General features: G+C 47.9%; 1 non-coding gene across 1 annotated transcript, besides 5 other annotated features; it reads left to right on the top strand.

Annotated features, from left to right (window-relative positions):
- Positions 5,615 to 5,804: an enhancer, noted in NCBI's record as "active region_8087". NCBI's record gives its function as "activates an Ori minimal core promoter by ATAC-STARR-seq in GM12878 lymphoblastoid cells {active_cell/tissue: GM12878}" and the evidence as "EXISTENCE:reporter gene assay evidence [ECO:0000049][PMID:35858748]".
- Positions 6,455 to 6,794: an enhancer, noted in NCBI's record as "active region_8086". NCBI's record gives its function as "activates an Ori minimal core promoter by ATAC-STARR-seq in GM12878 lymphoblastoid cells {active_cell/tissue: GM12878}" and the evidence as "EXISTENCE:reporter gene assay evidence [ECO:0000049][PMID:35858748]".
- Positions 7,933 to 8,042: an enhancer, noted in NCBI's record as "active region_8085". NCBI's record gives its function as "activates an Ori minimal core promoter by ATAC-STARR-seq in GM12878 lymphoblastoid cells {active_cell/tissue: GM12878}" and the evidence as "EXISTENCE:reporter gene assay evidence [ECO:0000049][PMID:35858748]".
- Positions 11,104 to 11,173: a silencer, noted in NCBI's record as "silent region_5572". NCBI's record gives its function as "represses an Ori minimal core promoter by ATAC-STARR-seq in GM12878 lymphoblastoid cells {active_cell/tissue: GM12878}" and the evidence as "EXISTENCE:reporter gene assay evidence [ECO:0000049][PMID:35858748]".
- Positions 11,284 to 11,563: an enhancer, noted in NCBI's record as "active region_8084". NCBI's record gives its function as "activates an Ori minimal core promoter by ATAC-STARR-seq in GM12878 lymphoblastoid cells {active_cell/tissue: GM12878}" and the evidence as "EXISTENCE:reporter gene assay evidence [ECO:0000049][PMID:35858748]".
- Positions 11,478 to 11,571, top strand: TRY-GTA5-4 (tRNA-Tyr (anticodon GTA) 5-4). Its single transcript has 2 exons — positions 11,478 to 11,514; positions 11,536 to 11,571. It is a non-coding gene; the product is annotated as a tRNA-Tyr (tRNA).

Raw genomic sequence — 12,212 nt, 5'->3', positions numbered from 1 at the left:
CAACATAGCAAAGCTCCATTTCTACAAAAAATGTTTTTAAAAAAATTATCCAGGTGAGGCTGGGCGTGGTGGCTCACACCTTTAATCCCAGGAGTCCATTCAGTCGGTTGTGGGTGCTTAAAATTAGTTTGGCTTAAAAATCATTCATTTTCAACCCTCAGAGGCTAACTTGAGGTACATATTCTAAAAGTATTAGCTTCTTTGTGACAGAGCTTATAGAAAAGATGGGACAGAGATGCTGCTCCCAGCACCAGCATAATTGCCTAATGGGTTCATCTTGCCCCTGCCCAGAAAAGCTGATTTACTGAGACAGTGTTATTGCAATGAAGAGTTTAGTAAATGCAGAGCCAACTAAATGGAAGAATGGAAGACTGGAGCTTTGTTATTACTCCTATCAGCCTCCCCGAAAATTCAGAGGCTAGGGTTTTTCTTTTTTTGAGACGGAGTCTCGCTCTGTCACCCAGGCTGGAGTGCAGTGGCGCGATCTCGGCTCACTGCAAGCTCCGCCTCCCGGGCTCATGCCATTCTCCTGCCTCAGCCTCCCGAGTAGCTGGGACTACAGATCCCTGCCACCACGCCCGGCACATTTTTTGTATTTTTAGTAGAGACGGGGTTTCACTGTTTTAGCCAGGATGGTCTCGAACTCCTGACCTCGTGATCCGCCTGCCTCTGCCTCCCAAAGTGCTGGGATTACAGGCGTGAGCCACCGCGTCCGGTCGAGGCTAGGGTTTTTCAAGGATAGTTGTGAGACAGCCAGGTGGAAGGGGGTCCCCGCAGACTCCCCGACCAGCCTGCGCACTGGGACGAATGCGCACTGGGGTGGAACCTCGGGAAGTTAGTGCCATTCGCAGCGAGGAGGAGCCTGGCCCCATCTCTTCCTGGGAGGAGCCTGGGATTTGAAAGCCTGGGCGGCAAGTGCTCTAGCAGGGACTCTGGCCTAGCAGAGTCCCCCTTTTCTTCCTTTTTCACCCAATAAAACCCTGTCTTACTCACCATTCCAATTGTCTGCGAGCCTGAATTTTCGTGGCCGTGGGACAAAGAACTCTGTCTTGAGCTGAACTAAAGAAAAGTCCCGCAACATTTGGGCAGGCAGGGGAATGCTGATTAGTTAGGTCAGAGATAAAATCACAGGGAGTCGGAGCTTGCCTTCTTTCACTGAGTCAGTTCCTGAGAGGGGGCCAGTTTATCGATCTCGGTGACGCCAGCTGATCCATTCAGAATGCAGAGTCTGAAAAATACCTAGAACAGCAATCTTAGATTTTTACAATAATAATGTTATCTATAGGAGCAATTGAGGAGGTTAGGATCTTGTGGCCTCTGGCTATATGACTCCTGAGCCATAATTTCTAATACTGTGGGCTAAGTTGTTGCTTTTACAAAGGAGGTCTGACCCCCAAGCAAGGAGGGGGTTTGCTTCATGAAGGGGCTGTTGTCATGTTTGTCTGAAAGTTAAACTACAAACTAAATTCCTCCCGTGGTTTGCTTGGCATACGCCCAGAAATGAGCAAAGGAAGCTTGGAGGTTAGAAGCAAGATCGAGTTGGTAGCCGGGTGCGGTGGCTCACGCCTGTAATCCCAGCACTTTGGGAGGCCAAGGCGGGCAGATCACTTGAGGTCAATAGGTGGAGACCAGCCTGGCCAACATGGTGAACACCCATCTCTATTAAAAAATACAAAAATTAGCCGAGCGTAGTGGTGCACGCCTGTAATCCTAGATACTCGGGAGGCTGAGGCAGGAGAATCGCTTGAACCCGGGAGGCGGAGGTTGCAGCGAGCCGAGGTTGCGCCACTGCACTCCAGCCTGGGCAACAGAGCAAGACTCCGTCTCGGAAAAAAAAAAAAAAAAAGATGGAGTTGGTTACATCAGACTTCTTTCACTGTTATAATTTTTGTAAAGGTGGTTTCACCAGCTGCACTCTTCTCATAGCTTCTACTGAGAAACTGGGGAGATTGCTGGCGGTGGGGAATCTGGGTCTAGCGAAGGTCTCAGGCAGTCTGCACTGATACTAATTTTCCAGGTCAGGAGAGACAAAGTAGTCATAGTGGGCCCATGTTTCCCCAGTGTGTCAAGCCAAAAGGTTAAAATAATAGGCACTATGGACTTAAAGAAATCAAAATTAATTTTGTCCCAAACCAAGTTGAGAACCGTAGCCTGGAACACAAACAGTGCAAACTGAGAATGTGTCCCAGAGTGGGTTACATGAGGCACGGTATTTACATGTTTTTTCTAAATAAAAAATCAAAGAAGGGGGCAGTGAAGCAAAGGTGACATTTTTACAGTTTTGACTGATGTTTAGTGATGGTATTCACAGACAAACCAAAAGTGTGGTTAACATATATAGGGATAGGGTAACAAGTAAAGGAGTATGTACGCATCTTAGGGTTTGGAGGGGAATGACTGATGTTATCTTGCTGTTAGAAAAAGGAAAATTCAAATAAAATGTTAATATGGGCCCACAATGGCTGCAGTTGGGCATATGGGTAATAAAACCCAGGCCTATAAACTAAAGCTGATCTCTTGCCTGTGTAACTGGAGTTTGTTGACAGGGGCTGGCCATGAACCTGTTTATCAGATGTAGAACAAAGACAGAATGGAATTAGTCACCCTTCCTCCACCAGACTCTAAGATGCTTAGCCTTTCTCCCTACTCACTCAACTGTATATTTACCTTATGTATGGCATCACTGAGCACTCATCAGAATCACAACAATGTAACCACTGTTTCATTAACCACTTCTCCCTCCTGTGCCACACACATCCCCGTTAGAAAATTTAAGTATACTGTGCCTCATGTAAACTACTTTGGGACCTATTGTAGGTCTATTCTAAGTCTGTGTTCTCAGGCATAACTCCTCAAACTTGGCTGAGAATAAATCTAACCATGACTTCTTTAAGTTCAAGTGCCTGTTATGTCACTTTTCAGTTGACACTGCCTTTGTGCTTCATCTGCTAGGCAAGGTTACAATCAGTAGACATCAGTGAAAACATTTGACATGGCTGGGTGTGGTGGCTCGCGGCTGTAATCCCAGAACTTTGGGAAGCAGACGTAGGTGGTTACCTGAGGTCAGGAGTTTGAGACCAGCTTGCCCAACATGGCAAAACCCTGACTCTGCTAAAAAAAAAAAAAAAAATACAAAAAGTAGCCAGACATGGTGGTGTGTGCCTATAGTCCCAGCTACTTGGGAGGCTGAGGCAGGAGGATCACTTGAACCTAGGAGGCAGCAGGTTGCAGTGAGCCGAAATCATGCCACTGCACTCCAGCCTGGGCAACAGAGCAAGACTCTGTCTCAAAAAAAAAAAAAAAGACAAAAAAAGACAAACTTTAGCCTTTCAGGCTAGAGTTCAGCTTTAGTTCATAGGTCTAGTTTCTATTACCTATATGCTCAACCTGCAGCCATCTTGGGCCACTTTTAAACATTGTTCTTTCAGATTTTCCTTTTTCTGACAAGTGCCATGCAGGAAAAATCAGGAGGGGGATGGGGGCAAGGGCTTTGTCCAGACAACATTTATGCAGATTGTATTCCTGGTCTGGCCTGGGGCCTTGTCTTCTTGTATGATGACTTTGGGAGGAGGGTTGCAATTGCTTGAGCCTAGAGACAAATATCTATTCCTTTTTCCTTCTGTTAGTTTTCTTGGTTGTGGATCAACAAAATGAAGATGTCTCCTAGAAGAGTAAAATAGTAAGGTCAGCAAGTCAAGGGTTAATGCGCCAGGCTGTAACAAAGGTGTGAGTTCTAGCCTCACTGGGGCTCCAGTTGCTTCAGTTTTTATGCTCTGGGATGTATTTACCAAGCTCAGATAACTTCACTGGTGAATTTTAATAAATGTTTCAGGAATAATGACAATTCTACACAACTTCTTGCAGCAAAACTGGAGAGGAGATAATAATTCTCAACTCTTTACATGAGGACAGTGTATTCTGATATTAAAAGCAAAGATACTTCAAAAGAAAGAAAACTACAGGTCAGTGTCTCTTAAGAACATGGAAGCCAAAAAGTTTAACATAACTTCGGCGAGTTGAATCCAACAGTATATAAAATAATGATACATCAGAATCAAGGGGGATTTATCCCAGAAAAGCAAATTTGGTTTGATATTCAAAATTAATCAATGTAATTTATTATATTAACAAACTATATTATATTAAAAAGAAAAACATGATTATATCAAAAGATGTAGACAAAACATTTGTCACAATTTCACATTTGTTTATTTATTGCTTACTTATATTTTTAGAGATGAGGGTTTCCCTCTGTCCCCCAAGCTGAAGGGCAGTGGCACAACCATAGCTCACTACAGCCTCAACTTCTTAGGCTCAAGTGATCTTCCTGCCTCAGCCTCCTGAGTAGCTGGGACTACCAGTGTGTGCCACCATGCCCTGATAATATCTTTTTCTTTATTTTCGTTTTTTTTTTTCTTTGAGATGGAGTTTCGCTCTTTGTTGCCCAGGCTGGAGTGCAGAGGTGCGATCTCACTGCAACCTCCGCCTCCCAAATTCAAGTGATTCTCCTGCCTCAGCCTCCCGAGTAGCTGGGATTACAGGCTCCCACCACCACACCTGGCTAATTTTTTTGTATTTTTAGTAGAGATGGGGTTTCACCATGTTGGCCAGGCTGGTCTGGAACTCCTGACCTCAGGTGATCCTCCCGCCTCAGCCTCCCAAAGTGCTGGGATTACAGGCGTGAGCCACTGCGCCTGGCGCCCTGATAATGTTTTAAAATTTTTCATAAAGGCGGGTTCTCACTTTGTTGCCCACGTTGGTCTTGCACTCCTGGGCTAAAGTGATCCTCTCATCTTGGCTTTCCAAAGCGCTTAGATTATAGACATGAGCCACCAATGCCCGCTACACATTCGCTTCTCATATAAACTCAGCGAATTAGAAATAGAAGGGCCTTTTCTCAATCTGATAAAGGGCACGTATGAAAAACTTTCAGCTAACAATACACTTAATGATGAAAGACTGAATGATTTCCCTGTGAGATTAGGACAAGCAAGGACATCTGCTTTCATCACTATCATCAGCAATGTGTGGAGATTCTTGAACAGTAATGCAAAAAAATAAAAATGGAAGCCATCCATGTTTAAAGGAAGAAGTAAAACTGTTTTATTCCGGGCTGGGCACAGTAGCTCACGCCTGTAATCCCAGCACTTTGGGAGGCCGAGGCAGGCAGATCACTTGAGGTCAGGAGTTCGAGATCAGCCTGACCAACATGGAGAAACCCCAAGTCTCTACTAAAAATACAAAATTAGCCAGGCATGGCAGCACATGCCTGTAATCCCAGCTACTCGGGAGGCTGAGGCAGGCGAATTGCTTGAACCTGGGAGGTGGAGGTTGCAGTAAGCCAAGATTGTGCCATTGCACTCCATCCTGGGCAACAAGAGCGCAGGGTTCTCTTCCAAGGCAGGTTCCAACCAACCCAACACATATTGGACCTCTGGCATTCCAGGGACTTGGTGTCCTCCATTTGCAGAAAGTCCAGTGACCCAGCTCTAACTTTGTGTGCTCTTTGAGAGATCAGCTGATAGAGTGGAGGACTGTACACATCTGTGGACATCCTTAGGTTGCTGGTTCAATTCCTGCTTGAGGGAAGTGTCTGAGTCTTTTGTACACACACCAGTGCTCCCTGGCTGCACCTCTGCCTGGTCAAACGCCCTGCTGTCGCCACACTCTCCCAGGCAAAACCCAGCAAAGCCTTATCCAGATTACCTAGCTTGCCATGCCTGTGCTGTTGCCAGTACACTTCAGTGCAAAGTGCCCCTTACTTCTGCTTTGTGACCCAGCCAATCCCCCATCCGAACCCTTACCATCTCAGGGCTGCTTCATTTTTATTCACAGGGTGCTTTTGGACCTAAGCACTGCTGGGGAATCTGGCAACACAGCTGGATTCATCTGTGACCAAGCTCTCCTGACCAGGTTGGCAAACCCTGGAAAGCCAAGCTCCCAGGAGACCATCAAGCATTCAGGACAACAGTGTAGGGTCGAGGACAACCATGATACCATCCGTGAACTCACCCTCTCCCCCTCATTTCCTTCCTGAGCTATTACTACCTCACCTCTGTCTGTATCTCATTCTCTCTCTCTCTTTCACAATTTCTCTCTCTGTCTGTGTATATTTCTCTCTGTCTGTCTCTGCCCCTTCTCCCTAGCACTCTGTGTCTCTCTCATTCTCCTTTGCCGGAAATGTATAGACTCATACAGACAGAAAATGCTCATCCTTGCTATGTTGTGTCTACTTGGGGAGACAGCAGCCACCCTGAGAATTTTCTAAGGCAAAGAACCTCCATTGGCAAGGTCAGGTTGCCCCATGGGATGAGGACATGGTGTGTCTACCCACTCACCCCTGTCCTAAATCCCTCAAGCCTCACCTTTCCTGAGTCTTCACATCTTTTTATTTTGCTACAGCTGGGCTTGGCTCCTGCTGGAAGAGTAAGAATACCTAACACTCACCGCTTAGTTCAAAGATGTCAAAAACACCTGCCACTTAGGAGGCTGTGAGAGCAGGAAGGAAGTACAAAATGGCAGGCCTGAAAAGAGCTTCAGTGACTTGGGAGAGTTGGGGATTGTTGGTCTATGACAGGAAACAGAAGTGAAACTTGAGTGACATCTGTCATCATACAGCGGCACACAAATTCACCTCCTTAGAAAGGCCACTGCCTGGTGGGTCTGAGCAGTTTGGACCTTTTGCACTAGGATCTAGCAGCACAGTTGGGCTCTCCTACCTCTGAGAAAAATATGTTGAAGCCCAGTCAGAGAGGATGGAGCAGAAAATGGACTGGGCTTTCACCAACCAGTGGAGCTTCATATCTGTGGAGATGCAGTGGGTTTTGTGGGTATGGGGCAGAGAAGAAAGCCAATGAGTGTCCCTTGGTCTCATCCCAAGATCTCAGAAAAATGTGCATCAGACACTTGGTGTACAGATGCAACCTATCACAGAGAGCACTCTAAGCCCAGTGGTCCATGGGAGCATGGCCCTCTGAAGCCCTTTGAGGACTGGGTCCCTGCCCTCCCCTACCCTCTGTGGCCACAAGAACTGCTTCATTGTGGGTCTCAATCTGGAGACTGTATGTGTCTTCTTCTCCTGGAAAGCAGCAGACGGTCTCCCCCAACACTGCCTATTCCCCTCACGTTCCCCCGGCTGTGTCAATCTTTCCCACTTCTCACTGCTAGTGGAAAGGAGCCAAGCTGTGGATTCACCAGTGCTCTGAGACGATTGTATGGCTGTGGAGCTGCAGAGAGACCCCAGTCTCCAGTGACACCAAAAACAGAGACCAGTGAACAGGGACCAAAGGTAGCACCTTAGGTCTTCATTAGATATGTTCCTGATGGGACATGGAGGTACAGGTCCTCTGAAACCTCAGTTTGGTGTTTTGAGGGCAAAAGCAGAAGGGGGCCAGGTAGTGGGCTTTGGTGACCAGCACAAGCGAGGGTGAACCCCAGATGCCCACTTTTCCAGTCTGGGACATGACAGAGTAGCAAGGGGTGTTCATGCATCTGACTCTCACCTTTGGCCATTCAGACCCACTTAGCATAAGACAGGGAGTGGACTTAAACTCAATGGATGCTAGGTCCCTTGGGGTGGCTTGCTGTACCCCCACTAGGTGTTCAGCAGGGGGGTGGGTGTCTCCGTGGTCTTGGGGTGGTGGGCATACAGCAGATGGGATCTGAAACCTTTGCCAAAGATGTGGTGTCAGGAGAAACTCACACCTCTGTACTCTGCCACCATTTTTTTGTTTGTTTATTTTGTTTTTTTTTTTTTTTTTCCAAGAAACCCACAGAACCTTGCTGATATGGCTTGGCTGTGTCCCCACCCAAATCTCAACTTGAATTGTATCTCCCAAAATTCCAACGTGTTGTGGGAGGGACCCAGGCGGAGGTAATTGAATCATGGGGGCCAGTCTTTCCTGTGCTATTCTTGTGAATAAGTCTCACGAGATCTGATGGGTTTATCAGGGGTTTCTGCTCTGCTTCTCTTTCATTTTCTCCTGCCACTGTCATGTAAGAAGTGCCTTTTGCCTCCCACCATGATTCTGAGGCCTCCCCAGCCATGTGAAATTGTAAGTCCAATTAAACCTCTTTTTCATCCCACTCTGGGGTATGTCTTTATCAGCAGCGTGAAAATGGACTAATACAGTAAATTGGTACCAGTAGAGTGCGGCATTGCTGAAAAGATACCCAAAAATGCGGAAGTGACTTTGGAACTGGGTAACAGGCATAGATTGGAACAGTTTGGAGGGTTCAGAAGAAGACACGGAAATGTGGGAAAGTTTGGAACTTCTTAGAGACTTGTTGAATGACTTTACCCAAAATGCTGATAGTGATATGGATAATAAAATGCAGGCTGAGGTGGTCTCAGATGGAGATAAGGAACTTGTTGGGAACTGGAGCAAAGATTATTCTTGTTATGTTTTAGCAAAGAAATTAACAGCATTTTGCCTCTGCCCTAAAGATTTGTGGAACTTTGAACTTGAGTAAGATGATTTAGGGTACCTGGCAGAAGAAATTTCTAAGCAGCAAAGCATTCAAGAGGTGACTTGGGTATGTTAAAGGCATTCAGTTTTGGTTTTTTTTTTTTTTTGAGATGGAGTCTTGCTCTGTCGCCCAGGCTGGAGTGCAGTGGCGCGATATCGGCTCACTGCAAGTTCTGCCTCCTGGGTTCACACCATTCTCCTGTCTCAGCCTTCCGAGTAGCTGGAACTACAGGTGACCGCCACCACGCCCGGCTAATTTTTTTTTGGTATTTTTAGTAGAGACGGGGTTTCACCATGTTAGCCTTGATCTCCTGACCTTGTGATCCGCCCGCCTCGGCCTCCTAAAGTGCTGGGATTACAGGCGTGAGCCAACACGCCCGGCGGCGTTCAGTTTTATATAGGAAGCAGAACATAAAAGTTTGGAAAATTTGCAGCCTGACTATGTGATAGAAAAGAAAAACCCAAACCCATTTTCTGGTGAGAAATTCAAACTGGCTACAGAAATTTGCACAAGTAGCAAGAAGCCTAATGTTAATCCCCAAGACCATGGGGAAAATGTCTCCAGGCCATGTCAGAGACCACCACGGCAGCCCCTCCCATCCATCACAGGCCCAGAAGCCCAGGAGGAAAAAGTGGTTTCGTGGGCCGGGCCCAGGGTCCTAGTGCTGTGTGCAGCCTAGGAACTCCGTGCTCTGTGTCCCAGCTGCTCCCCCTGTGGCTGAAAGGGGCTAACATACAGCTTGGGCGGTAGCTTCAGAGGGTGGAAGCCCCAAGCCTTGGCAGCTTCCATGTGGTGTTGAGCCTGCGGGTGCACAGAAGTCAAGAATTGAGGTTTGGGAACCTCCTCCTAGATTTCAGAAGAGTATGGAAACGCTTGGATGCCCAGGCAAAAGCTTGCTGCAGGGGTGGGGCCCTTATGGAGAACCTCTGCTAGGACAATGTGAAAGGGAAATGTGTGGTCAGAGCCCCCACACAGAGTCCCTACTGGGGCATTGCCTAGTGGAGCTGTGAGAAGAGGGCCACTATCCTCCAGACCCCAGAATGGTAGATCCACTGACAGCTTGCACCGTGCACCTGGAAAAGCTGCAGACCCTCAAGGCCAGCCCAGGAAAGCAGCTTGGAGAGAGGCTGTATCCTTCAAAGACACAGGGGTGGAGCTGCCTAAGACCATGGGAATCCACCTCTTGCATCAGTGTGACCTGGATGTGAGACCTGAAGTCAAAGGAGATCATTTTGAAGCTTTAAAATTTGACAGCCCTGCTGGATTTCGGACTTGCATGGGCTCTGTAACTCCTTCGTTTTGGCAAATTTCTCCCATTTGGAATGGCTGTATTTATCCAATACCTGTACCCCCATTGTGTCTAGGAAGTAACGAGCTTGCTTTTGATTTTACAGGCTCATAGGCAGAAGGGACTTTCCTTGTCTTAGATAAGACTTTGGACTGTGGACTTTTGGGTTAACGCTGAAATGAGTTAAGACTTTGGGGGACTGTTGGGAAGGCATAATTGGTGTTCAAATGTGAGGACATGAGATTTAGAGAGGCCAGGGGCGGAATGATACTGTTTGGCTGTGTCCCTACCCAAATCTCAACTTGAATTGTATCTCCCAAAATTCCCACGTGTTGTGAGAGGGACCAGGGGGAGATAATTGAATCACGGGGGCCAGTTTTTCCAGTGCTATTCTCAGGATAGTGAATAAGTCTCACAAGATCTGATGGGTTTACCAGGGGTTTCCGCTTTTGCTTCTCTCTTATTTTCTCCTGCCTCTGCCATGTAAGAAGTGCCTTGGACAGGAGGGGTGGCTCACGCCTGTAATCCCAGCACTTTGGGAGGCCGAGGAGGGTGGATCACCTAAGGTCGGGAGTTCAAGACCAGCCTGGCCAACATGGAGAAACCCCAAGTCTTTACTAAAAATGCAAAATTAGCCGGGCGTGGCGGCGCATACCTGTAATCCCAGCTACTCCGGAGGCTGAGGCGGCAGAATCGCTTGAACCTGGGAGGCGGAGGTGGCGGTGAGCTGAGATCGCGCCATTTCACTCCAGCCTGGGCAACGAGAGTGAAACTCCATCTCAAAAAAAAAAAAAAAAAAAGAAGAAGAAGAAGAAGAAGAAGAAGAAGTGCCTTTCACCTCCAGCCATGATTCTGAGGCCCCCTAGGCATGTGGAACTGTGAGTCCAATTAAACCTCTTTTTCATCCCAGTCTCGGGTATGTCTTTATCCGCAGCATGAAAACGGACTAATATACTTGCCCTACTTCAGAAAGAGGAAGCCTCTGGGGGAGAAAAAAAAAAGAGTTCTTGGTCAGTTTGCAGAGGAGGGAAGCCAAGCCCCAGTTGGGCGCTGGGGAGGAAGGAGGGTATCACAGTGCATCTGCAAGCCCTGGGCGAGTTCTTCTCACCTAGTCCCATTTGTTCTCTCTCTCACTTCTAGCACACTTGAATGCGCCAAAAAGCAAGCATAGGACACTGTAGGGAAAAGGGCGGAGGCACATCGGGAGAAGGGGCATGTGTGTGTTGGCCGGGAAGGGAGTAGGAAGGCCAGAGTTTTAGGAAAGGGCTGCTTAAGGACTTTCAGCAGACCCTGCAGCTGGTCTGCGGATAGCGGCCGCCCACCCAGAAGCTTTCCGAGTTCTTCTTTCCTCCTCCTGCAACCCCTGTCCCACAGGATCCACCCATCCACCTAGCCCATCCCTCTGACCGAGCCCTCTCACCCTCTTGTTTTCTTTCGCTGAGGGCTGTCATCCTCACTTGTAAAAACAGAGATGCACAGGTGGAGGAAGGCCACAGGCGAGAGCCTCCCGTCCTGGATTGTGGCTATCAGCGCTCTGGGACGCGAGGAAACCACACTCGGAGGATTTGCTCCACCCTGAGAGGTGCGCGGTGGCAACCAGCGCAAGGTTCTCTTCTAAGGCGGGTTCCAATCAACTCTAAGTGTGTTGACTCCAGCGTTCCAAGGACTTGGCTTCCTCCATTTGCGGAAAGTCCAGTGATCCAGCTCTTGCAGCGTGCACCCTTCGATAGCTCAGCTGGTAGAGCGGAGGACTGTAGATTGTACAGACATTTGCGGACATCCTTAGGTCGCTGGTTCGATTCCGGCTCGAAGGAAGTGCCCGATGCTTTTGCATGCAATGCCACCTGGTGCCTGGTCAAACGCCCTGCAGCCTCCAACTAGTATCCACCCACACCCTCCCAGTCAAAACCCAGAGAAACCTTTCCTGATCACCTGGTTTCCACACCTGTGCTGTGGCCAGGAAACACGCCCGTAAGCCCACTCATTCTTCCCACAGTCCAGGGACAGGTACTCTTCAACGCAAAGGGCCCCTTGCTTCTGCTTTGTGACCCAGTCAGCCCCTCTCCCCAACCCCCTTCGCACCCCCACCATCCAGAGCTCTTTCACTTTTATCCACAGACTGCTCTGGGTGCTGAGGGCCATGGACTCTAGCAACATTGTGTGCTCACCATTGATAGATCTCTCGATCTATTAAACCAGTGGGCCCACCATCAACTCCTAGAAGATCAAGCCTGCTGGAAGAGAAAAGGGTCAGAGACAACTGTGACATCCTCAGGAAAAAAAAAAAATGCTCTCTATGCTGTCTCTCTCTCATCTCCTTCTCCAGGTCTCTAGCAAATGCTTTTCTATCTGAGCATTCTCTCTCTCTCTCTCTGTTTTTCTCTGACTCTAGTTCTCTCATTATCTTTTGCTTGTAATGTATAGATGTATACAGACAGAAAATGTTCATTTCTGT

This window comes from Homo sapiens, chromosome 14, assembly GCF_000001405.40.
Source record: "Homo sapiens chromosome 14, GRCh38.p14 Primary Assembly".
NCBI lineage: Eukaryota > Metazoa > Chordata > Mammalia > Primates > Hominidae > Homo > Homo sapiens.
Note: the sequence above shows the minus strand (reverse complement) of the source record. Positions and strands in the feature narration are given on the sequence as shown.